This window comes from Homo sapiens, chromosome 17 (assembly GCF_000001405.40).
Source record: "Homo sapiens chromosome 17, GRCh38.p14 Primary Assembly".
NCBI lineage: Eukaryota > Metazoa > Chordata > Mammalia > Primates > Hominidae > Homo > Homo sapiens.
In genome coordinates, this window is record NC_000017.11 from 60,418,713 (window position 1) to 60,442,819 (window position 24,107).

A 24,107-nucleotide genomic window follows, 5' to 3' on the forward strand; every position below is an offset into this window, starting at 1 on the left:
AGACACTTTTCAAAAGAAAATATACATGCAACCAATAAGCATATGAAAAAAAGCTCAACATCACTGGTCATTAAAGAAATGCAAATCAAAACCACAGTGAGATACCACCTCACACCAGTCAGAATGATGATGATTAAAAAGTCAAAAAATAACAAATGCTGGCAAGGTTGCAGAGAAAAAGAAACACTTCTACACTGTTGGTAGGAGTGTAAATTAGTTCAACCATAGCGGAAAGTAGTGTGGTGAATCCTCAAAGAGCTAAAAACAGAACTACCATTCAACCCAGCAATCCTGTTACTGGATATATACCCAAAGGAATATAAATCATTCTACCATAAAGACACATGCACTCGTATATTTATTACAGCACTATTCACAATAGCAAAGACATGGAATCAACCTAAATGCCCATCAATGGTAGACTGAATAAAGAAAATGTGGTAATATCCATCATGGAATACTATACAGCCATAAAAAAGAACGAGATCATGTCCCTTGCAGGAACATTGATGGAGCTGAAGGCCATTATCCTTAGAAAACTAACATAGGAACAGAAAACCAAATACCGCATGTTCTCACTTATAAGTAGGAGCTAAATGATGAGAACACATGAACACGTAGAGGGGAACAACACACACTGGGGCCTACCAGAGAGTGGAGGGTGGGAGAAGTGAGAGGATCAGGAAAAATAACTAATGGGTACTAGGCTTAATACCTGGGTAACAAAATAATCTGTGCAACAGGCTGGGCACGGTGGCTCATGCCTGTAATCCCAGCACTTTGGGAGGCTGAGGTGGATCACGAGGTCAGGAGATGGAGGCCATCCTGGCTAACACAGTGAAACCCCGTCTCTACTAGAAATACAAAAAAATTAGCCGGGCGTGGTGGCAGGGGCCTGTAGTCCCAGCTACTCGGGAGGCTGAGGCAAGAGAATGGCGTGAACCCGGGAGGCGGAGCTTGCAGTGAGCAGAGATGGCGCCACTGCATTCCAGCCTGGGTGACACAGCGAGACACCATCTCAAAAAAAAAAAAAAAATTCTGTGCAACAAACCCCCATGACACAGGTTTATCTATATAACAAACCTGCAACTCAAGGTTAAAAAAAATTATTATTATTATTATTATTATTATTATTATTATTATTATTATTTTATTATTATTATTTGAGTCGGAGTCTTGCTCTGTTGCTCTAGCTGGAGTGCAGGGGCATGGTCTTGGCTCACTGCAACCTCTGCCTCCCGAGTTCAAGCGATTCTCCTGCCTCAGCCTCCTGAGTAGCTGGGATTACAGGCATGCACCACCGCGCCTGGCTAATTTTTGTATTTTTAGTATTTTTATTTTTATTTTATTTATTTTGTTTATTTTATTTTATTTTATTTTATTTGTTTTGTTTTATTTTATTTATTTTGTTTTACTTTATTTTATTTTGTATTTTTAGTAGAGACTAAAAATAGTAGAGAGTTTTAGTAGAGGGTTTTGCCATGTTGGCCAGGCTGGTCTCAAACTCCTGATCTCAGGTGACCCACCCACCTCGGCCTCTCAAACTGCTGCGATTATAGGTGTGAGCCACCGCACCCGGCAGAATTATGTTGTTTTAAAACTTAGCATTATATAATGTTTTTAATGATGTTATTTAATCCTTATGAGTAGATTTTTAAAAAAGACTCTTTCCTGGCCGGACGCGGTGGCTCACGCCTGTAATCCTAGCACTTTGGGAGGCTGAGGCAAGCAGATCACCTGAAGTCGGGAGTTAGACACCAGCGTGACCAACATGGAGAAACCCCGTCTTTACTAAAAATACAAAATTAGCCAGACGCGGTGGCACAAGCCTGTAATCCCAGCTACTCGGGAGGCTGAGGCAGGAGAATGGCTTGAACCCGAGAGGCGGAAGTTGCAGTGAGCCGAGATCACGCCATTGCTCCAGCCTGGGCAATAAGAGCAAAACTCCGTCTCAAAAACAAACAACAAACAAACAAACAAAAAAACCTCTTTCCTGACTGTAAAAGTAAAGCATAATTGTTATTGTTAAAAATACAGATAATATGTGAAGAAAGTGAAAAATTACCTTTGATATTTTGAAGTGTATCCTTCAAGACTTTTTTCTATGCATATATAAATATATATGTACAAAAATGGAATCATACCTTTTAGTTCCTGTTTTCCATGTCAATAGATATATAGTGACATATTTCATGTTTTTATGAATATACCATGATTTATGTATTCTATTAGTGACACTGCAATTGTTTCCAAATTGTCACTATTGTAACAGTCCTCATCATCTTCTCTCCTTAGGACTAATTCCTCCTATAAGTAGAATTGGTGAGTCACAGAGCATGCACATTTAAACACTTTAAAATACATTGTTTACCAATCTCACTGCCAGTAGGAACGTATGTAAAGGTTCCTTTCCCCTTGCTCTTGCCAATATAATTATCCTTCTTAATACTCGCAAAATAATCTGGAATTAATGATCAGAAAACAGACCTTCCATCTTGGAGGCGGATAAGTGGAAGGTTTATTCCTCCCCTTACAACAACAACAACGACAACAATAACAACAAGACGTTTGCTGAACATGCTGGCATAGAGGACAAGTTAAAAAGTTTCTGGACTCAAAGGGTGCTCCTCCAAAGCTCCGGGCCTCCGGGCTACCCCTACTTGAAGCCGCTATGCCCCTCTCCTGTGCCCGAGGTGGCCGCTGGGTGGCAGGGGAGGCCCGGGCCGACGGCGGTCCCACCGCACTGTCGCGAAGGCAGGCGAAGAACAGGGCCACACTGAGTGGGGACAACTGGGCCCGGGCCCAGAGGACACGAAGGAAGGTCCGGGAGAAGGAATTCCTAGTTTCAGGGAAGAAAAGGTGGCTCGAGTGAGGAAACTGCGGGGGCAACGGTCTCTCGTCGCCGGGACCCCGCCGTGTGCCGCCCAGGGACGCGAGGGGGCGCTGCTGCCGCGCCAGGGGCGAGGGTCCCGGGGCCTCCTGAGCACCTCCCGGCCCTGCCCGGCCAACTCAGACTACACCCGGACTCTGCCCACCGCGTTTCCGCCCTCGGCCTCGGGTCCCTGGAGGGCTCGCGGGTAGGAAGAGTCGGGGTGGCGGGACTTTCGCCGACACCCGGCTCCCCGCCTGGTGGCTGCGCACACGAGGCCGGCGACGGGACTTGCCCGCGTCTCAGCGCCTCCTGTGTGAAGCGGGACCGCTGCGGTACCTGCCCCAGGGAAGGCCGCGGGGAGGGTTACAGAGCCCGTAGGCACTGGCGGGGATCTTTATACACCCCCAAAACACACACATCCCACCCAGTACCCAGCACCCAGCACCCAGCACGGAGGGCTTATTATTAACAACTTCCTGGAGGCCGCAGGGGCAGTGCTGGCTCACTGTGTCCCTTCTCCCTTTCAGCTCTCCCTAGACCTCTGTCCCAAATCAGAAAAGAATTTTACAAACTGTGCTTTCCTCTCGGGGAGCCCCCACCACGGCGTAACCCAGCAGGCAGGAATGGCACACGTGCAGGAAAATGAGTTCAACAGCCTTACCAGGTGGTGTCAGGATCAGCATCTGACAGTATTCTTGGGAGAAGGGGCGCCAGCCTCTCCTGGCCTGCTGTGCGCTCTGCCAAAGTCTTCGCTCGACCCCGCACATCTTGCTCCGTTCCCTAGTCCAGATCCCAGCTGGAGGGGCCAGCTGCAGCCACCCCTAAGAATGAGGAAATGGGAGCGGGGTGGGGGGCTGGGTTCTGTGTTGGCGGTTGCCGTGGCTTTGCTCCGAGTTCTGGAGCCAAACCGCCCACTCCCTGAGACGGCTAGGTCACAGAAGCAGTGGGTCAGAAGCCAGAGGGGACGTGGGGAGTGCCACCCTGGAGCCTACCGGCACACCTGCTGAGATGGAGGCCTCAGATGGGCAAGGGGGTGAAGGGGACAAGCCACTAGAGCAGGTGAAGTGGGGTGTGAGGGAGGGAGGGAAGGAGGGTCCCGGAGGGGCTGGTTTTGGAAAGTAGAGAACATGAAATTCAGGAAAGAAGAGAAGAACAATGATAGGGTACCTGAGATAGCAAGAGGCCTAAAGCACAAGAACTTTCATTCATTCAGAAGTTTATGCATGACCTGTGTTCCTGGCGAGATGATGGGGAAGAGGTCGCCTCTCATTGTTGGTTATGAAGACTTGAGAGTATGTGTATGTATACACATGGTCTGTGTGTGGTTGTGTGGTGTGTGTGCTGTGTTGGAGGAGTTGATCAGCCAGAGTCCTGTCTCTAGGACCTGGAGGAGCCTGTGTCCCATCTCCTCTCCATGCACCTCCCTCCCCCTGGCCTTTCCCTTCAGAGTGGTCTGGACGGGATCTTCCTTGTTCTCCCCGAACACAGACTAGAATTCATACTTTTCTGAGAAGCTTTTGAAAGGTGAGGGGCAAATCCAGTTCTGACTTCTAGTGTTATTTCACAGTCACTTTGTTGCCACTTATTTTCAGCTTTCTTTTTTTCTTTGTTCTTTTTTTTTTTTTGAGACAGAGTCTCACTCTGTCACCTAGGCTGGACTGCAGTGGCATGATCTTGGCCCACTGCAACCTCTGCCCCCTGGGTTGGAGCAATTTATCCTGCCTCAGCCTCCTGAGTAGATGGGATTACAGGTATGCATTACCACACCTGGCTAATTTTTGTATTTTTGGTAGAGAGGGGGTTTCGCCATGTTGGCCAGGCTGGTCTTGAACTCCTGACTTCAGGTGATCCACCCATCTCGGCCTCCCAAAATGCTGGGATTACAGGTGTGAGCCACTGTGCCCAGTTTTGCTCTGTCACCCAGGCTGGAGTGCAGTGGCTCAGTCTCGGCTCACTGCAACCTCCACCTCCTGGGTTCCAGCAATTCTCCTGCCCCAGCCTCCCAAGTAGATGGGATTACAGGCACGTGCCACCACACTTAGCTGATTTTTTTGTATTTTTGGTAGAAATTGGGTTTTGCCATGCTGGCCAGGCTGGTCTTGAACTTCTGGGCTCAAGCAATCCACCCACTTCAGCCTCCTAAAATGTTGGGATTACAGGCGTGAGCCACTGGGCCTGGCCTAATTTTCAGCTTTCTTTGCCCCACTTTTGTGGTCAAAGGTTCTTTCTCATCATCACCATCATCCACTTTTTCTGAATAGTCATTAGATGCATGGTTTATTAGTCCATTTTGCATTCCTATAAAGGAATACTTGAGGCTAGGCAATTTATAAAGAAAAGAGGTTTATTTGGCTCACAGTCCTGCAGGCTGTACACGAAGCATCTGCTTCTGGTGAGGGCCTCAGGAAGCTTACAAGCATGACAGAAGATGAAGAGGGAGCAAGCTTGTCACATGGTGAGAGAGCAAGCAAGAGAGAGAGGAGGGCGTGTCAGGCTCTTGTTACCAACCAGCTCTCACATGAACTGACAGAGTGAGAACTCACTTAATTGGGGCAGGGAGGGCACCAAGCCCATTCATGAAGGATCCACCCCCATGACCCAAACACCTCCCATCAGACCCTGCCTCCAACATTGGGGATCACGTTTCAACATGAGATTTAGAGGGGACACACATTCAAACCATATCACATGACGATGCTAGAGGCTAGGGATGCAAAGAAATGGGCCCAGTCTGATGCAGTCAGTAAACATTTGCCAAGTGAGTGAGTAAATGAATCCCTGTTCATTCCCCCAAGGAGCTGCTTAAATCTTTTGATGCCTCATTGTTCTCATCTGTAACTAGGGTTAATGATATTGAAACCGTCCCTAGAAACTTTATAAAATTAATCAGAAAAAAAGAGGGGAAAAATGAAAATTAACTGAGCTTGCAGCTCATTCAGCATGAATCATGAGGTCAGCCTGCTCTCTGACCCACTTCCTTGGAGTTCTTTGGTGCCTGTTTCCTTAGAATTCCGTAGACCCTGGGTGCGGTGGCTCATGCCTGTAATCCCAGCATTTTGGGAGCCGAGGTGGGTGGATCACTTGAGGTCAGGAGTTTGAGACCAGACTGGCCAACATGGTCTCTACTAAAAATACAAAATTAGCCAGGCGTTGTGGTGCACGCCTGTAATCCCAGCTACTCGGGAGGCTGAGGCAGGAGAATCGCTTGAACCCGGGAGGCCAAGGTTGCAGTGAGCCGAGATCACACCACTGCACTCCAGCCTGGGTGATAGAGTGAATAAAAAAAAAAAGGAATTCCATAGACCCTGTTACAAGGATACTCCCTTAACTGCTCTGCAGATAACAGCTCGAACATTATGAAGCATTGCGTTTTCTCTTTAAATATTATTTCAGATCCTACATACCACTCAAACTACAGATGGCAGTTGGTCTAAAGAACCCTTCAAAAACCTGATTCACCAAAGAATGCAGTTTCCACATCCTCATAATTTCATCCCCCGACTCTGACCAATCAATGGCCCCAGTTTTTTCAATCCCTCCCACTCCATGATCTCCTTAAAAACCCCAGTCCAGAACTCCTTGGGAAGATAGATTTGAGGATCTCCTTCCATCTCCTCACTGAGCACCCAGCAATCAATAAACTCTTTCTCACAGTGACATGATCTCGGCTCACTGCAACCTTCAACTCCTGGACACTAGCAATCCTCCCACCTTGGCTTCCTGGGTAGCTGGGACCACAGGTGCACGCCACCATGCCCAGCTAATTTTTGTAATTTTTTGTAGAGACCAGGTCTCACTATATTGCCCAGACTGGTCTGCTGCCACTTTTGCTGTCTCTATATATTGGACTGTGAGTGTCCAGCAGGCATATAAACCTGTTGGTCCTATAACAACATCTAACCTGACAGAATTTGCGGGAAGATAAAATGAGCTAATGTTTACCAAGTGCTTTGCAGTTACCTAGTAGAATATGCTGTGATTATTATAAAAGAAAGAGGTGGAATATTCTAGGTTTTCTAAGCAGAGATTTTCAGAGATGGGTTTCTTTGCCCAAGGCTCACTCACATCCATGCTGGGTCAAGAAGGTCTGAGGGCAATGGAGAAGGGCTTTGGCTGCCATTTGGGTCAGTCCCTGCCAGCACTGCCCCCAGGAGTAACGGTCCAATCCCCCGGCTTAGTGCCCCCTGCCTCCTCCTAGGTGACAAATGTGTCATGCCTGGAGACAAGCTCCAGCGCCAGCCCTGCTAGAGACTCGCTCATGCGCCATGCCAAGGGCCTGGATCAGGACACCTTCAAAACTGTGAGTAAAGAGCCAGCCTGGAACCCTGTCCCCTTTTCCCCATTGGTCAGGAGGCCTGAGTCAGGAAATGGCAGGCCTCAGACCCACAGCGCATTGCCCCACTTGTCTTACTCTTGGTAAGGACTTTTGGTGAGAGGTGCACCAGAGCCACCTCCCGAAACACGCAGCACTGGGCCACTCAGGGCTGCGGCCAGACCGGTGTGCTGGATACCTGGGACTGCCCATCTGCCTCTTCTTTTCTCCCATGGCCCCTCACCTCACCTGTTGCCTCCTCAGTGTAAAGAATACCTAAGACCGCTGAAGAAGTTCCTGCGAAAGTTGCACCTGCCCAGGGACCTTCCCCAGAAGAAGAAGCTGAAGTACATGAAGCAGAGCCTTGTGGTCCTAGGGGACCACATCAACACCTTTCTGCAGCATTACTGCCAAGCCTGGGAAATCAAACACTGGAGAAAGTAGGGCAGTCTCTTTGCTCTGCTCCCCATACCTACTCCTGGGCAACCCCCTCTTCATTCAAGGGGACACCTTAGTCAATCCCCCAGTCCTTCATCTTTATGTGGAGGAGTCAAGAGCCTGAGGGGATGGAGAGAGCTCCTAGTCACTCAGGACAGCCCTGACTGCACCTTGTCTCTGACTGAACAACTGCGTGCAGGCGCTCAATACCAGGATAGGATATTCAAGTTTGGGCAAATCCCCACCCCTCCATTCCCCCAACCCCAAACCCCAAAGGGGCATGTGGCCCATATTCCCCTGGGTGGGTCCTGACCCTGAGACAAATGCTGGAGGGAGGAAGCGCTGTGCTCCACCTCCCCAGCCTAGGGTCTCCCCCTTTGCAGGATGCTCTGGCGGTTCATCTCCCTCTTCTCGGAGCTGGAAGCAAAGCAGCTTCGCCGACTTTACAAGTACACCAAGAGCAGCCAGCCGGCCAAGTTCCTGGTGAGGCGCAAGACATTCCGCCCGAGCACAGCTGAGGGTTGGTTGATGTGTCCTTAGACTTGCGGGGAGGCCTGGGATTGACACACCCAGAGCCCCTCTGGTCCTTCCCAGGGCTCACTGCCAGGGCAAGACTCTGCTGCTTGACCTTTACCCCTGCCCTGGGCAGAGTGGGCTGAAGAGGCCGAGGCTCAGCATCAAGTTCTCCATATATATTTGATGCACGGGCAAGCCCGGGAAAGTTCTTGGTTTTGCCCAGAAAAGAATTTAAGGGTGAGCTGGTGGTATTACACAGCAAGTTTATGGAAGCGGCCGTGTAGAGTAGCAGCAGAGGCACTCCTCCTTGTGGAGCAGGGCTACCCTATGGGCAGTGTGCCCAGAGTAGCAGCACAGGGGCAGCTCTGAGCTCATATTTATCCCCGCTTTTAATTACTTGCAAATTATGGGGTGGTTATTTGGAATTTACCAGAAAAAGGGTGGTACTTCTGGGTTGTTGCCATGGGAAGGGGTCGCAACTTCCAAGTATTGCTATGGCAATGGTAAACTGACATAGCATTGGTAGGTGTGTCTTAGGGAGAGGTGCTTTCACCCCTTCCCTGTTTCAGCTAGTCTTTTTTTTTTGATATGGAGTCTCACTCTGTCATCCAAGCTGGAGTGTCGTGGCGCGATCTTGGCTCACTGCAACCTCCGCCTCCTGGGTTCAAGTGATTCTCCTGCCACAGCCTCCCAGGTAGCTGGGATTACAGGTGCACACCACTGTGCCTAATTTTTGTATTTTTAGTAGAAACGAGGTTTCACTATGTTGGCCAGGCTGGTCTCGAACTCCTGACCTCAGGTGATCTGCCCGCCTCAGCTCCCAAAGCATTGGGATTACAGGAGTGAGCCATCGCGCCCAGCCTACCACTCTTCATGTTGTATGGGCTATAGGTTTTGCCAAAGGTATGATGACATGTATCTACCATTACAGTATGATATGGAAGAGTGCCATGGTCCTAAAAACCCCCTGTGCTCCATCTATTTGTCCCTGCCTTCCTGCCCCCACTCCCCTGGCGACCACTGATCTTAGGTTCACTGTCTCTTAGTTTTGCTGTCTCGGAATGTCATATCGTCGGGATCATACAATATGTAGCCTTTTCAGATTCGTATCAGTGAAATTTTCATACTAGGTTTCATTAGAATCCATTGGTTTCAGGGGCTCCATGAGGTCAAAATATTACAGGGACTCCTGGGGGTTTGCAGAGCACACTTTGAGAACCACTGGTCTGGAATAATAATCATAGATAAAGCAGATGTAAAAGCATTCTATGTGCCAGGTACTTTATATTCCTTCAAGTAATATTCAAAAGTAACCCTAAGTGGTAATTAGGTTTATTGTCTGCAGTGTGTAAATGAAGATCCCAAATACAGGGAAGTAAGGTAATTTGTCGCAGTCTTTATAGCAAGTAGGAAGGAAGAGGAAGGGTTCAGCCTCCATCTGGCTGGGATGAGAGCCGTGCTCTAACTGCGCCCTCCTGCACTCTCGCCGTGCAGCCCTAACCAAGTCCTCTCCCTCTCTGCATCTGTTTCTTCCTCTGAACATGTAACGATTGGAGAACTTCAATGATTTCTCTTCTGAATAAGAGGAGCTGCCACTTTACTGATTTCTAGATTTCTGGATTTCATTGGCCTGAATTTTTTTTTTTTTTTTTTCGAGACAGAGTTTTGCTCTTGTCCCCCAGGCTGGAGTGCAATGGTGAGATCTTGGCTCACCACAACCTCCACCTCCAGGTTCAAGCGATTCTCTTGCCTCAGCCTCCTGAGTAGCTGGGATTACAGGCATGCACCACCATGCCCAGCTAACTTTTGTATTTTTAATAGAGACGGGGTTTCACCTTGTTGGCCAGGCTGGTCTTGAACTCCTGACCTCAAGTGATCTGCCCTCCTCGACCTTCCAAAGTGCTAGGACTACAGGCATGAGCCACCGCACCAGGCCGAAAAATTTATATATATATAGTCTTTGAATTTTAATTTCAAAATTCAAGCTCTCAATTTATTTCATTTCTAAAATTTTTATTTTTTTTTTAACAGACTCAAAGCTTACAAAGGCTCCCATTTTTTTTTTTTTTTAAGACAGAGTTTCGCTCTGTTGCCCAGGCTGGAGTGCAGTGGCGTGATCTCGGCTCACTGCAACCTCCGCCTTCAGGGTTCTAGGGATTCTCCTGCCTCAGCTAAACGAGTAAGGCTCCCAATTTAATTTTTGCTAAGTTAGATCTTTAAAACACATATCATTTCATTGCAAAAAAACAATAAGACACTGCAGTTCCAAAAAGAGATGGAAGACATGATCTCAAAATAAAGGACAACGCAGGAGGACACCATTGGCAGCTTGCCTCCATGTCCCCACAGTCTTTTCTCTCCCACATCTGTGATTCCTACCCCATCCTTTTGGTTAGGCAAGTGTGACCGGCAGGCAGACCTTAGCATTTCTCAACAAATGCGGTGCTGGGACTCTAAAGTTCAGGTCCCCCTCTTCTCAACACTCTCCTTAACACGGAGGCTCCATGGCAGGTGACATTCTGCGCCTCGGATGCGCCGGAGAGGTCCTTGCTGGCCGACCGGGAAGACAGTCTGCCCAAGCTCTGCCATGCATGGGGGCTGCACAGCAACATCAGCGGCATGAAGGAGCGGCTGTCCAACATGCAGACCCCAGGTCAAGGGAGCCCCCTGCCTGGGCAGCCAAGATCCCAGGACCATGTCAAGAAAGGTAATGACCATTTGGTGTTGGGGTGATGCCTGGACCCAGGAGTTTGTGAGTGGTGTCTGGGTGTTTCCCAAGAGTAGACTCAAGCAGCCGGGAGCCTCTGCCCCCAGCCTGACAAGCTCCTCTTCCCTCCTTTCCATCTTCTCTTCATCCCGCATTTTCCTTTCTGTTTTTTCTTCTCTTTCTCCACTTTCTCTTCTCTTTTTAGTCCCCCTCTTCCCCAGGCTTGCTCATTATAGAAAGGTTTTTGTTTTTATTATTTATTTATTTTATTTTATTTATTTTTTCCAGACGGAGTCTCGCTCTGTCACCCAGGCTGGAATGCAATGGCGCTATCTCGGCTCACTGCAACCTCTGCCTCCTGGGTTCAAGCGATTCTCCTGCCTCAGCATCCCCAGTAGCTGGGATTAGAGATGCCCATCACCATGCCTGGCTAATTTTTGTACTTTTAGTAAAGACAGGGTTTCACGGTGTTGCCCAAGCTGGTCTTGAGCTCCTGAGCTCACACAATCCAGCCGCCTCAGCCTCCCAAAGTGCTGGGATTACAGGTGTGAGCCACGCACCTGGCTTTTTTTTTTTTTTTTTTTTTTTTTTACATTCCTGACCTGTTGAAAAGATGAGGCTATTATTCAGCAGAATGTTCTCCTTCCTGATTTATTCCCTATTGCTTCCTTTTGACATCTTTTAGCTTGTTCCTCTATAAACAGGACTCGAAAGTCTTCATGGGTTCAAATGAAACATGTTTTTGGCTAGAGGCTACATAAGAGATGAGGTTATGCTCTTCCCATTATTACCTGACAAAGCACAGAATATCTCATGGACCCACCGGGAATGGGCTAAGATTAGTCACTGAGTCTGTCCTTGCAATGAAAATAACCTATGTGGTATTTCTTTGGCACTATGTTAATAAAGTAAGTTATTTTATTTTTTATTTTTATTTTTTTGAGACGGAGTCTCACTCTGCGGCCCAAGCTGAAGTGCAGTTGTGCGATCTCAGCTCACTGCAACCTCAGCCTCCCCGGTTCAAGTGATTCTCCTGCCTCGGCCTCCTGAGTAGTTCAGATTACAGGCATGTGCCACCACACCTGGCTATTTTTTGTATTTTTAGTAGAGATGGGGTTTCACCATGTTGGCCAGGCTGGTCTCAAACTCCTGACCTCAACTGATTCATCCGCCTCAGCTTCCCGAAGTGCTGGGATTACAGGCGTGAGCCACTGTGCCTGGCCATAAAGTCAGTTCTTAATTAAAACTTGGCAATGGGGTTTGCAAACAGTACTGGGAATTGGGTCATGAGGCCTAGGAGAGGAGTAAGGAAGAATCAGAGGTTGGAGCCAGAGGTCGAGGAAACTCGGGTCTTGCCCTGACTCTTCCCCTAACTTGCTGTAAGACTTTGGGCAGGTCATTGCTTTACCCTGGACCTGGGTGACAGTCCTCATCTGTAAATTGGGGACAATGCCATCTCTCTACTGGGTTTCTGTGAGAAAAAACTAAGTGATATAGGTGGGAAGTAAGATAGGATTTTGCTATTCTTCCTCTCTGCCCCTACAACACCCCCCATGTATTACAGACTGAGATTCTTACTATTTGTGATGTCATTGGGACTGTCTCTGACCTTCTCTTTTTCAGATTCTTTAAGGGAGCTTTCTCAAAAACCAAAACTCAAGAGGAAGAGGATAAAGGAAGCCCCAGAAACTCCAGAGACTGAACCGTAAGAAGACCAACTGGGACAAAGGGCCCGCTTGTCCTGGCTCTCAGAGCACGGGGAATGGAGACCAAAAAGGGAAAAGAATTGTCCTTATCAAAAAGATTCTCAGGTCTTAATTAGGAATAAATGAGGTGGGAAATAAACATTCTTATGACAGTTCTACCTTACTTGACCAACAGTCATCATTCGTACATTTTAAATTTGTTTAAAAGATATTTGCCAGCCACCTTCTAAGTGGCAGGTGCCCCACATATGCACAGATGAATAAGATGTGGTCACTTTGTCAAGGACCATCACAGTCTAGTGGAGCAGACAGACATAGAAAAGACACGACAGCAGGGTAAATACAGGTGACTGGGGCAGGCCTCCGGGGAGTTAACAAAGGAGCTGGGTGTTTGCCAGTGGAGCACACAGGTGGGGAGGGAGGGAGCCTGGGGTCAGAGAATGGCAAGCCTGGCAGCCCGCCTGCATTGTCTGGACTTCATTTTGTGGGTAGCTTGGGATGGGCAGTGGTAAGGGAAGTGTCAAGTAGTGGAATGAATGGGTGTCACTACGGTATTGGGGAGATGCTCTGGTGACTGTGAGCAAAGTGCATGGAAGTGAGCGAGGCTAGAGGCAGGAGACCAAAGAGGAAACAACACCGATGGTCTTAGCTAACATGGTGGCTCGAGCCATCAGTCACAAATCCACAGCCTGCACACTAAAGTAAGGCTACTGATGTGTTTTGTTTGTCCTGGGTCATGTTCTACTTGTTGTTTAAAACACTTTAAGTCCGGGCATGGTGCCTCATGCCTGTAATCCCAGCACTCTGGGAGGCTGAGGTGGAGGTTTGTTTGAGCTCAGGAGTTCCAGACTAGCCAGGGCGATATGGGAAAACCCCATCTCTACAAAAAAATTAGCTGTTCATAGTGACGCACACCTGTAGTCCCAGCTATTTGGGAGGCTAAGGTGGGAGAATCGCTTGAGCCCATGTGTCAGTCTTTTCTCGCACTGCTAATAAAGACATACCTGAGACTGGGTAATTTATAAAGGAAAGAGGTTTAATTGACTCAGTTCCACGTGGCTGGGGAGGCCTCACAGTCATGGCAGAAGGCAAATGAGGAGCAAAGTCACATCTTACATGGCAGCAGGCAAGAGAGTGTGTACAGGAGAACTCCCCTTTATAAAACCATGAGATCTCATGAGACTTATGAGAACAGCATGGAAAAAAACCCACCCTCATGATTCAGTTACCTCCCACTTGGTCCCTCCCACAACATGTGGGTATTATTACAATTAGAGGTGAGATTTGGGTGGGGACACAGAGCCAAACCATACCATACCGCCCCGGCCCTTCCCAAATCTCATATCCTCACATTTTAAAACCAATCATGCGTTCACAACAGTTCCCCAAAGTTTTAATTCATTTCAGCATTAACCCAAAAGTTCAAGTCCAACATCTCATCTGAGACAAGGCAAGTCCCTTCCGCCTATGAACCTGTAAAATCAAAAGCCAAGTTAGTAACTTCCTAGACACAATGGGGTTGCAGGCATTGGGTAAATACACCCATTCCAAACGGGAGAAATTGGGCAAAATGAAGAGACTACAGGTCCCATACAAGTCCAAAATCCAACAGGGCAGTCAAATATTAAAGTTCCAAAATGATCTCTTTTGACTCCATGTCTCACACTGAGGTCATGCTGATGCAACAGATAGGTTCCCATGGTCTTGGGCAGCTCCAGCCCTGTGGCTTTGCAGGATACAGCCCCACTCCTGGCTGCTTTCACAGGCATTGAGTGTCTGCAGCTTTTCCAGGCACATGGTGAGCTGTTGGTGGATCTACCATTCTGGGGTCTGGAGGGCAGTGGGCCTCATCTGACAGCTCCACCAGGCAGTGCCCCAGTGGGAACTCTGTGTGGAGTCTCCTACCTTACATTTTCCTTCCATACTGCCCTAGGAAAGGTTCTCCATGAGGGCTCCACCCCTACAGCATACCTCTGCCTGGACATTCAAGCATTTCCATTCATCCTCTGAAATCTAAGTGGAGGTTCCCAAACCTCAATTCTTGACTTCTGTGCATCCACAGGCTCAACACCATGTGGAAGCTGCCAAAGTTTGTGGCTTGCACCTTCTGAATCTATGGCCCAAGCTGTACCCTTCTAGCCATGCTGGAGCAGCTGGGATGCAGGGCACCAAATCCTGAGCCTGCACACAGCAGGTGAGCCCTGGACCTGGCCCAGGAAAACATTTTTTCCCTTCTAGACCTCTGGGCCTGTGATGGGAGGGGCTTCCAAGAAGGTCTCTGACATGCCCTGGAGACATTTTCCCCATTGTCTTGGGGATTAGCATTTGGCTCCTCCTTACTTATGCCAATTTCTGCTGCCAGCTTGAATTTCTCCCCAGAAAATGAGTTTTTCTTTTTCTTTTTCTTTTTTTTTCACTAGTTGTCAAATGATCCTTTATTGAAATATTTTCCTTTGTGCTTAACTAGCTGGGCATTCCACAGCACCACTGTTGATGTCATCTATGATGTCATGAGGGTGGCGGCCATCAACATTACAACCCACAGAGACTGGGCAGTCCCCAGGATCTCTTTAATGGTTCCAGAGAGTTCTCTGGCTAAGGATCGGTGCTCCATCTGTCGAGCAAGGTTGACGATCTCATCAAAAGTGATATTCCCACTGTGTTTAATGTTTTTCTGTTTCTTTCTGTCTCTGGTGGTTCCTTGAGGGCTTTGATGATCAGGGCAGAGGCAGAAGGCACCACCTCAATCTGGGCCTGTCTGTTCTGAATGGTCAGTTTCACTGTAATCCTCAGGCCCTTCCAGTCACCCGTTGCCTTGGCAATGTCACCACCAACGTTTTTTGGAGACAGACCCAGGGGGCCGATCTTGGGGGCCAGGGCAGAAGTGGCATCTCCGGTGCACCTCAGGTATATGACTTTGATCTCGTTGGGGTCGAACTTTGGCGGCATGGTGGAGGCGGCTGGTGTCAGATGAACCCGGATTCGGGACAACCGAAGAAAGTTGCACCTTGGCCTCCTCCAAGCCGAAAGCCAAGAGCGAGTTTTTCTTTTTCTATTGCATTGTCAGGCTGCAAATTTTGTGAACTTTTTTTTTCCAAGCCAAACTGTATCCAGCTTTATTAAAGATACTTTCCATAAACAGTCATGGTATTTCAGGCAGGACATGGGCAGACAATCATTAACAGTATACAACAACTTTCAAACTCCCTGGATTCTTCAGTGGACTACCAAAAAGAAAGCCAGTATAAAACCCAATGAAGTCTTCATCTGATGCTCTGAACAGGGAAAGTTTAGAGTGAGGGTTGATATTTCACATTCAGCATGCTGTTAACTTTTCACAAACCAACCTTGACTTTCAGGAAGTGAAATGAAAATGGCAGAATTTATCTGAAGATTCACAATCTAGAAATGGAACCACTGCTCTTTTGACAGGTGCCATCTCAGTGGCATCTGGAAAGTCCAGATTGCCTGACACTGGTAACCAATGACTAGGGGTCAGGTCCCAACAGACGTCTGGGCTTAAGGGAGTTAAGTCTATGCTGAAAGATGGAAAGGGAGAAGAGGACATAAAAATAAATTTGTTTTTCCATACCGCAAGCCTTTTGTGCCAAGGTGGCCATGTGTATCAAAGCCAGGGAATCCCTCCTCCTGGGAGCCAAAAGGAAGTCTCTAAAAACTAGAAGGGAAAGGTGTTTTCCCCATATCAATCCAGCTTCGGAGTCATTCTATTAGTGACGTATGCCCCTTCCCCTAAAAACAACAATGAAGTGTTCTGTGTGCTAACAACGTAGCTTAAAAAAAAAAAGTAAAATAAAATTCTGCATTTTTATAAATCTTGATAAAAAATAGTATTTCAAACTGTATAGTCACCAGATGTACACAGTTATCAAAAATGCACACACTTCACTTGGCATCTCCAGCACCTTCAGCTTTCTGTGCCTGATCTGTTTTGGCATCTTCATTTTCTGCAGGGCTATTCCCTCCTTGCCAGCATCAGCTTTTCCCTTTTTCCCTTTGGGTACCTTCTCTCCCTTCTTTGCAGGGGCCATTTTAGGCTTGGGCTCCGGCTTTGGAAAAGCAGGTTTAGCAGACAACCTCGCGGATCTTTTCTGTGGTTCGTCCTTCGTCTTGGCTTTATCTCCTTTAGCATCCCCTTCAGCCTTTCTCTTGGTCATGGTGGCGGCGACGATGGCATTGAGACGTAGGCACTGGGCGCAGGATGCAGCGGCGCGCGGGCTTTGCTCGGTTCGGGGATCGTTCTCGCCTCTTCTTCCTCCAAATTTTGTGAACTTTTATCATTTCCAGGAGGGTAAGTAGGTCCAAACATTCCCCAAAAACACAAATGACATATTTTCCAGGGCTCTGCCTGAGGCAGCAGCATATAGGGTGCAGGGCTGCCCTGGAGCAGGAGAGGCCAGGGCAGATGTGTGTGACTCTTCTCCCTCCCTCCCTCGATTTGTGTTCAGAAGTAAGTATCGTCATAGACTGACAAGGCTAAAATGAATATCAATCTAGTCTCGAAGAAGGAGTTCAGGGAAGCATGAATGGGGGAAGCGGGGAGGAAGCGCCATTTCTTTCCTCCTTAGAGTCATCGCCTCCTGGAAGTGGCAAGATGAGACGGCCAAGGCATAGGCCTGGGGCCAGCCTGGCTTGGCTAGACCCTGACAGTTTTGTCAAAGCAGGGAGGATTTCAGAGAGAAGGGAAGCCGGGCTGGAGGGTGTCCATGATGACTATGGGCTTTCCAATGTTTTCTACTCCTAAGAGATTTCAGAAATGTGGCTGTTTTGGGAACAGTCCAAAAACACGAAGTATCCCCAGTAGTCAAGGCAGCACTGCCACCTAGAGGAATTGTGAGACACTACAGCCTTGTTCTTTCAACCAACATGTGCAAACCAGCGTGTGCAAAAGATGAAGATGAGAGAAGGGAGCCAGGGGTTCGTTTATCAACCTTGAGAACAATCGGGACGCATAAAGGCAAAAATGGACAACAAGTGAGGCTTGGTTTTGAAGCTTTCTTTCTTTCTTTTTTCCTTAGACGGAATCTCGCTCTGTCGCCCAGGCTGGAGTGCAATGGCGCAGTCTCGGCTCACTGCAACCTCCGCCTCCCGGGTTCAAGCGATTCTCCTGCCTCAGCCTCCCAGGTAGCTGGGCTTACAGGAGCGCGCCACCAAGCCTGGCTAATTTTTTTGTATTTTCAGTAGAGACGGGGTTTCACCATGTTGTCCAGGCTGGTCTCAAACTCCGCTGGCCTCCGCCTACCAAAGTGCTGAGATTACAGGCGTGAGCCACCACACCCGGTCAATTATTGTATTTCTTGTTTATTAACTGTCTTCTTCCCTTAGAATGTAAGTTCCACAGGGTTAGAGATTTTTGTCTGTCCTGTTCATTGCTGTATCCAAAGCAATTACAATAGTATTCAACATATAATAGGTACTTAGCAAACTTTTAATGAATGAACCAACCCAAAACAGAGAATTCTGACCAACCACCTCCTCGTTCAGAGGGGAAAACAGAGGCCCAAGAAGAAAGGCGACTTCTCCAAGGTTGTGCAGGAAGTCAATGGCAGAACTGGAACGACAACTCAGACCTGAGGTCCCCCAGGCCAGCGCACTTCCTACATACCAACGACATATGTTTCACCTACTCTTGGCCCACACACTCATTTCTCACAAGATAGAAATAACCCTCAAGACTAAAATGTATTACTTCTTCTCCTTCTTCTTCTTCTTTTTTTTTTTTAAGACAGTCTCACTCTGTCACCCAGGTTGGAGTGTAGTGGTGCAATCTCCACTCACCACAACCTCTGCCTCCCGGGTTCAAGCGATTCTCCTGCCCTATCTCCAGAGTTGCTGGGATTACAGGCGCCCGCCACCACGCCCAGCTAATTTTTGTATTTTTAGTAGAGATGGGGTTTCACCATGTTGTCCAGGCTGGTCTCGAACTCTTGACCTCAGGTGATCCGCCCACCTCAGCCTCCCAAAGTGCTGGGATTACAGGCATTAGCCACTGCGCCTAACCAAAATGTATTACTTCTTCTAGAATTTTTATTTTTTAAAAGTATCTCTACCCAAAAGTATAATGGTGGACTTGGGAACACCAGAAACAGGTTGTTGGAGAGGCTATTGGGAAGTGGGGAGCCTTGGTGGAAATCCCCAAATCATACCTTGGCCTATGCTGCCTTAGGGGTGAGGCTCATCCTAGAGAAAGTGCCTCACTATCGGAGCCTTCGAGAAGGGTCCTTTTCCTTAGAGAATAAAGGGTACTTTCCCTAAAGTTTTACTTTCAGTTTTTTTTGTTTTTTTTTTTTGAGACGGAGTCTCTGTCACCCAGGCTGGAGTGCAGTGGCGCAATCTTGGCTCACTGCAAGCTCCGCCTCCCGGGTTCACGCCATTCTCCTGCCTCAGCCTCCAGAGTAGCTGGGACTACAGGCGCCCAATGGTGCCCGGCTAATTTTTGTATTTTTAGTAGAGACGGGGTTTCACCGTGTTAGCCAGGATGGTCTCAATCTCATGACCTCGTGATCCACCCGCCTCGGCCTCCCAAAGTGCTGGGATTACAGGCTTGAGCCACCGTGCCCAGCTGTTTCCTGACTTTTTAATGATCGCCATTCTAACTGGTGTGAGATGGTATCTCATTGTGGTTTTGATTTGCATTTCTCTGATGGCCAGTGATGATGAGCATTTTTTCATGTGTTTTTTGGCTGCATAAATGTCTTCTTTTGAGAAGTGTCCGTTCATATCCTTTGCCTACTTTTTGATGGGGTTGTTTGTTTTTTTCTTGTAAATTTGTTTGAGTTCATTGTAGATTCTGGCTATTAGCCCTTTGTCAGATGAGTAGGTTGCAAAAATTTTCTCCCATTCTGTAGGTTGCCTGTTCACTCTGATGGTGGTTTCGAGTTTTAAATGGAAGAGGCTCCTAACCGCGAATGTAGTGACTAACTACTGCCTGACCCACTCCCACCCCAGTCTCTCAGGAGTCACCCGAAGTTTCCTCTTTATAATAATTATCACAAATATATGTAACTGAAGAGAAATAGCAGAGTTTTGCATCCATTCTCACTGGATTTTTGTGTCAAACTTGTGAGGGAAACTCCTTCTCCCCATTACAAAGAAAACAGGCTATGGCCAGGCTTGGTGGCTCAGATGTGTAATCCCAGCACTTTGGGAGACCAAGGTCGGTGGATCACTTGAGGTCAGTAGTTCGAGACCAGCCTAGCTAACACGGCAAAATCCCATCTGTACTAAAAATACAAAAATTGGCCAGGCTTGGCGGTGCGTGCATGTAATCCCAGCTACTCAGTAGGCTGAGGCAGGAGAATTGCTTGAACCCAGGAGGCAGAGGTTGCAGCGACCCGAGATTGTGCCACTGCACTGTAGCCTGGGTGACGGAGCGAGACTCTGTCTCAAAAAAAAAAAAAAAAAAAAACAAGAAGAAGAAGAAAGAAAAAGAAAACAGGGGCTTAGGGGCTGACTTAGTTGAGTTGAGATGCTGACTGCCCAAGCTTTTTGACTCCTCCACACACAAGGCTCTGTCTTTTTGATTTTTCTTGTTTTTGTAAACAGACATTTGCTTTTTTTTTTTTTTTTTTTTTTTTTGAGACAGAGTCTTGCTCTGTCGCCAGGCTGGAGTGCAGTGGTGCTATCTCGGCTCACTGCAAGCTCCACCTCCTGGGTTCATGCCATTCTCCTGCCTCAGCCTCCCCAGTAGCTGGGACTACAGGCGCCCGCCACCATGCCTGGCTAATTTTTTTGTATTTTTAGTAGAGACGGGGTTTTGCCATGTTAGCCAGGATGGTTTCGCTCTCCTGACCTCGTGATCTGGCCGCCTCGGTCTCCCAAAGTGCTGGGATTACAGACGTGATCCACCGCGCCGAGCCTTTTTTTTTTTTTTTTTTTTTTTGAGACAGGGTCTCACTCTGTCACCCAGCCTGAAGTGCAGTGACATGATAATAGCTCACTGCAGCCTCGATTTCCTGGGCTCAAGTGACCCTTCTGCCTCAGCCTCTTGAGTAGCCGGGACTACAGGCATGTACCATCATGCCTGGCTAACTTTAAAAATGTTTTTTTGTAGACACGGATTCTCGCCATGTTGCCCAGGCTGGTCTCAAACTCCTGACATCAAGCAATCCACCTGCTTCGGCCTCCCAAAGTGCTGGAATTACAGGCATGAGAATATGTGATAGGAAAAGAGTATACAGACTTGAAAAAAAATAGAACGTTTAGAAATGAAAAATAACTATTCTTGAGCCAGGCACAGTGGCTCAAGCCTGTAATCCCAGCTACTCAGGAGGCTGAGGCAGAAGGATTGCTTGAATCCAGGAGTTTGAAACCAGCCTGGGCAACAGTGAGAACCTGTCTAAAAACAAAACAGAAACACGCACCTCATAGCTAAGTGAAACAGGAGGCAACATCTGGGTCATTCTTAGCTCATAGAGAGAAATAATCAGTCATTACGTAACAGGAAAGAAAAATACTCAAACTATTTAAAGAGCAGCAGGAATGAAAAAGCCTGATTCTGTACTTGGAAAGAATTTAAATGCAAATCAACTTTCACTTGTTACACAAAAGTTCTAATTCAAAAATAAATTACACTAGAGGTTTTTCAAGGCACTTTCTGGAAGTGATCATTCACAGATTTTTTTCAAACTTATGCATCATATTTAACTGCTTGTGCAAAGTGAAGTCTGATTTTTAAAAATTATTGTAAAATACACATAAAGTTTACTGTCTGAACAATATATATTATATATATAGTTGTAAAATACACAAAATTTATTGTCTGAACTATATATTATATATAAAATATATAATATATAGTTATAAAATACACATAAAGTTTACTGTCTGAACAATACATATATATATCTTTTTTTTTTTTTCTTTTTTTTTAGGTGGAGTCTTGCTCTGTCACCCAGGCTGGAGTGCAGTGGCACAATCTCAGCTCACTGCAACCTCCGCATCCTGGGTTCAAGCAATTCTCCTGTCTCAGCCTCCCTAGTAGCTGGGACTACAGGCGCCCGCCACCACACCCGGCTAATTTTTGTATTTTTAGTAGAGATGGGGTTTCACCATGTTGGTCAGGCTGGTCTCAAACTCCTGATCTCAGGTGATCAACCCGCCTCAGTCTCCCAGAGTGCTGGGATTACAGGCATGAGCCACTGCGCCCAGCCCTGTCTGAACCATTTTATATGTAAAATGCACTAGTATTAATTTTCACAGTGTTGTGAAACCAATCTCCAGAACTTTTGCATCACACAAAACACAAACTCTAGATCCATTAGTGCAGTGGTCCCCAACCTTTTTGTCACCAGGGGTTGGCTTTGTGGAAGACAGTTTTTCCACAGATCGGAAGCAGGGAGAGGTGGGGTGCTTTTGAGATGATTTAAATGCATTAAATTTTTTTAAAAAATTGAGACAGGGTCTCACTGTGTCATCCGGGCTGGGGTGCAGTGGCACAATCACGTCTCACTGCAGCCTCAACCTCCCAGGCTCAAGCAACCCTCCCACCTCAGCCTCCTGAGCAGCTGGGACCACAGGCATGTACCACCAGACCCAGCTAATTTTTTGTATTTTTTGGTAGAGACGAGGTTTTGCTATGTTCAGGTCTCGAACTCCTGAGCTCAAGTGATATGCCTGCCTTGGCCTTCTAGAGTGCTGGGATTACAGGTGTGAGCCACTGTGCCTGGCCTCAAGCATATTACATTTACTGTGCACTTTATTTCTATTACTATTACATTGTAATATATAATGAAATAATTATACAACTCACCATAATGTAGAATCAGTGGGAGCCCTGAGCTTGTTTTCCTGTACTAGACAGTCCCATCTGGGGGTGATGGGAGACAGTGACAGATCATCAGGCATTAGATTCTCATAGGAAGTGCATAACCTAGACCCCTCACACGTGCAGTTCACAATAGGGTTCACCTAATGCTGCCACTGATCTGACAGGAGGTGGAGCTCAGGCAAGTGATGGGGATGGGCTGTAAATACAGAAGCTCTGCTCGTTCACCCACCCACTGCTCACCTCCTGCCACGTGGCCCAGTGCCTGACAGGCCACAGATCCCCGGGGGTTGGGGACCCCTGCATTAGGCAACTACTCCCCATTTTCCCCTATCCCCAGCTCCTGGCAATCACTATCCTACTTTCTGCTTCTATGAATTTGACTACTCTAGATGCATCATCTAATAGTATCATACTCTTTGTGACTGTCTTATTTCACTTAGCATAATGTCTTCAAGGTTTGTCCACATTATAGCTTATGTCAGAATTTCGTATATTCTTATGGCTGAATAATATCCCACTGTATGTATATGCCGTATTTATCAACAGGTTCTCATTCTCTTGCCCAGGCTGGAGTGCAGTGTGGTGTGATCACGGCTCACTCAGCCTCAACCTCCTGGGCTCAAGCAATCCTCCCACCTCAGCCTCCTGAGTAGCTGGGACTACAGGTGTGTGCCACCACGCCCAGCTAATTATTTTTTTGTATTTTTTGTAGAGACAGCATTTCACCTTGTTGCCCAGGCTGGTCTCGAACTCCTGGGCTCAAATAATCCTCCTGCGTCGGCCTGCCTCCCAGAGTTAGGAATACACATGAGCCACCACGCCTGGCCTGCCATATTTATCTGTTCATGCATTGTTAAGACATTTAGGTTGCTTTCGCTTTTGGCTACTGCAAATAATGCTGCTACACGGGTATATAAATATCTGTTCAAGACCCTTTCAATTCTTTTGGATCTATACCCAGAAGTTGAATTGCTGGATCATAAGAGTAATTGTTTTTAATTTTTTGAGCACAGGTGATAGTTTTTCACAGCAGATGCAGCATTTTACATTCCTGTCAACAGTGCACAAGGGCTCTCATTTCTGCACATCCTTGCCAACACTTACTTTCTGTAATAGCCATCCTAATGGGCATTTGTCTATAGAAATGTGCGCTTAAAGTAACTGAGTGTGGTTTGCTAACACACTCAGGACAGTATCTGTCACAGGATAAACTCTATGTTGAATACACAGATCAGCAAAGTTTACAAGTTGGAAAGAGTCTTAACACTGTAAGTTATATGGCCATATGGTAATTGCTTTCACAAAGCTCTAAAATGCTGCATTAATACCAAGTGGCAACTCAAACTTTAAGGGAAGGGTTCCCTTGATCTTTGAGCTTGACAGATGAGCAACACTATCCAGGAAATGGCATTCCACAAGGACGACGAAATCGCATGTTCAGAGGTTCAGTCATGGAGATGTAAAAAGAAACATTTTTAAATTCAGTATCACTGAAGGTGGCAGGCAGTGAAGCTGGTGCTGACTATATTCCAAGTGATGGTGGGATTTTGTCTACAATATTTTCTTCCTAATCTTTAAAAATATGGCTTCGTTTCCTACAACTGGTTTCTGAGTCCTTCAGATTTATGCTGTTTCATGGTGAAGTTTTTTAAAGACCTGATTTTACCCCCTTATTCATGTGAGGAAATAAAACACAAAGAGGGCTGGAATGACGTAACTCAGAATCTTCCAGTTCAGAGACAGCTGGAACTGAAACTCCAATCTAGGCT

At 47.0% G+C, this 24,107-nt stretch overlaps 2 protein-coding genes and 2 pseudogenes across 8 annotated transcripts in view, besides 3 other annotated features; 1 reads left to right on the top strand and 3 right to left on the bottom strand.

The window, feature by feature from the left end:
- The window catches only part of USP32 (ubiquitin specific peptidase 32), a 245,090-nt gene extending 241,386 nt beyond the window's left edge, over positions 1 to 3,704 (bottom strand). For both annotated transcript variants that reach the window (XM_011525372.2, XM_011525371.2), the window contains exon 1: positions 3,534 to 3,704. In XM_011525372.2, the coding sequence (XP_011523674.1) occupies positions 3,534 to 3,639 (106 nt within the window). In that variant the 5' untranslated portion in view covers positions 3,640 to 3,704. The remainder of the gene's footprint in view (positions 1 to 3,533) is intronic.
- On the top strand, positions 2,502 to 12,714 carry CHCT1 (CHD1 helical C-terminal domain containing 1). Of its 6 annotated transcripts, none has more exons than XM_005257033.6 (6): positions 2,502 to 2,821; positions 7,071 to 7,172; positions 7,449 to 7,624; positions 8,006 to 8,142; positions 10,650 to 10,845; positions 12,469 to 12,714. In XM_005257033.6, exons 1-6 carry the CDS (start codon positions 2,672 to 2,674, stop codon positions 12,545 to 12,547), a joined length of 840 nt encoding a protein of 279 aa, XP_005257090.1. In that variant the 5' UTR covers positions 2,502 to 2,671; the 3' UTR covers positions 12,548 to 12,714. The 6 variants fall into 6 exon arrangements, with proteins under 6 accessions (XP_005257090.1, XP_005257091.1, XP_005257092.1 ...); XM_005257034.6 differs by having other exon boundaries at positions 8,006 to 8,105; XM_005257035.5 differs by lacking the exon at positions 2,502 to 2,821 and adding an exon at positions 3,007 to 3,204.
- Positions 2,604 to 3,023: a silencer, noted in NCBI's record as "silent region_8791". NCBI's record gives its function as "represses an Ori minimal core promoter by ATAC-STARR-seq in GM12878 lymphoblastoid cells {active_cell/tissue: GM12878}" and the evidence as "EXISTENCE:reporter gene assay evidence [ECO:0000049][PMID:35858748]".
- Positions 3,034 to 3,133: a silencer, noted in NCBI's record as "silent region_8792". NCBI's record gives its function as "represses an Ori minimal core promoter by ATAC-STARR-seq in GM12878 lymphoblastoid cells {active_cell/tissue: GM12878}" and the evidence as "EXISTENCE:reporter gene assay evidence [ECO:0000049][PMID:35858748]".
- Positions 3,244 to 3,313: a silencer, noted in NCBI's record as "silent region_8793". NCBI's record gives its function as "represses an Ori minimal core promoter by ATAC-STARR-seq in GM12878 lymphoblastoid cells {active_cell/tissue: GM12878}" and the evidence as "EXISTENCE:reporter gene assay evidence [ECO:0000049][PMID:35858748]".
- RPL12P38 (ribosomal protein L12 pseudogene 38) lies at positions 14,966 to 15,588 on the bottom strand (annotated as a pseudogene).
- HMGN2P42 (high mobility group nucleosomal binding domain 2 pseudogene 42) lies at positions 16,221 to 16,824 on the bottom strand (annotated as a pseudogene).

Excerpts from the sequence above, each read along its gene's own strand:
- CHCT1 (XM_005257033.6), top strand. The coding sequence starts at position 2,672 with ATGCCCCTCTCCTGTGCCCGAGGTGGCCGCTGGGTGGCAGGGGAGGCC. Across the intron at positions 2,822-7,070 it reads CCCAGAGGACACGAAGGAAG|GTGACAAATGTGTCATGCCT; the intron begins GTCCGGGAGAAG and ends GCCTCCTCCTAG. Across the intron at positions 8,143-10,649 it reads CCGCCCGAGCACAGCTGAGG|GTGACATTCTGCGCCTCGGA; the intron begins GTTGGTTGATGT and ends GCTCCATGGCAG.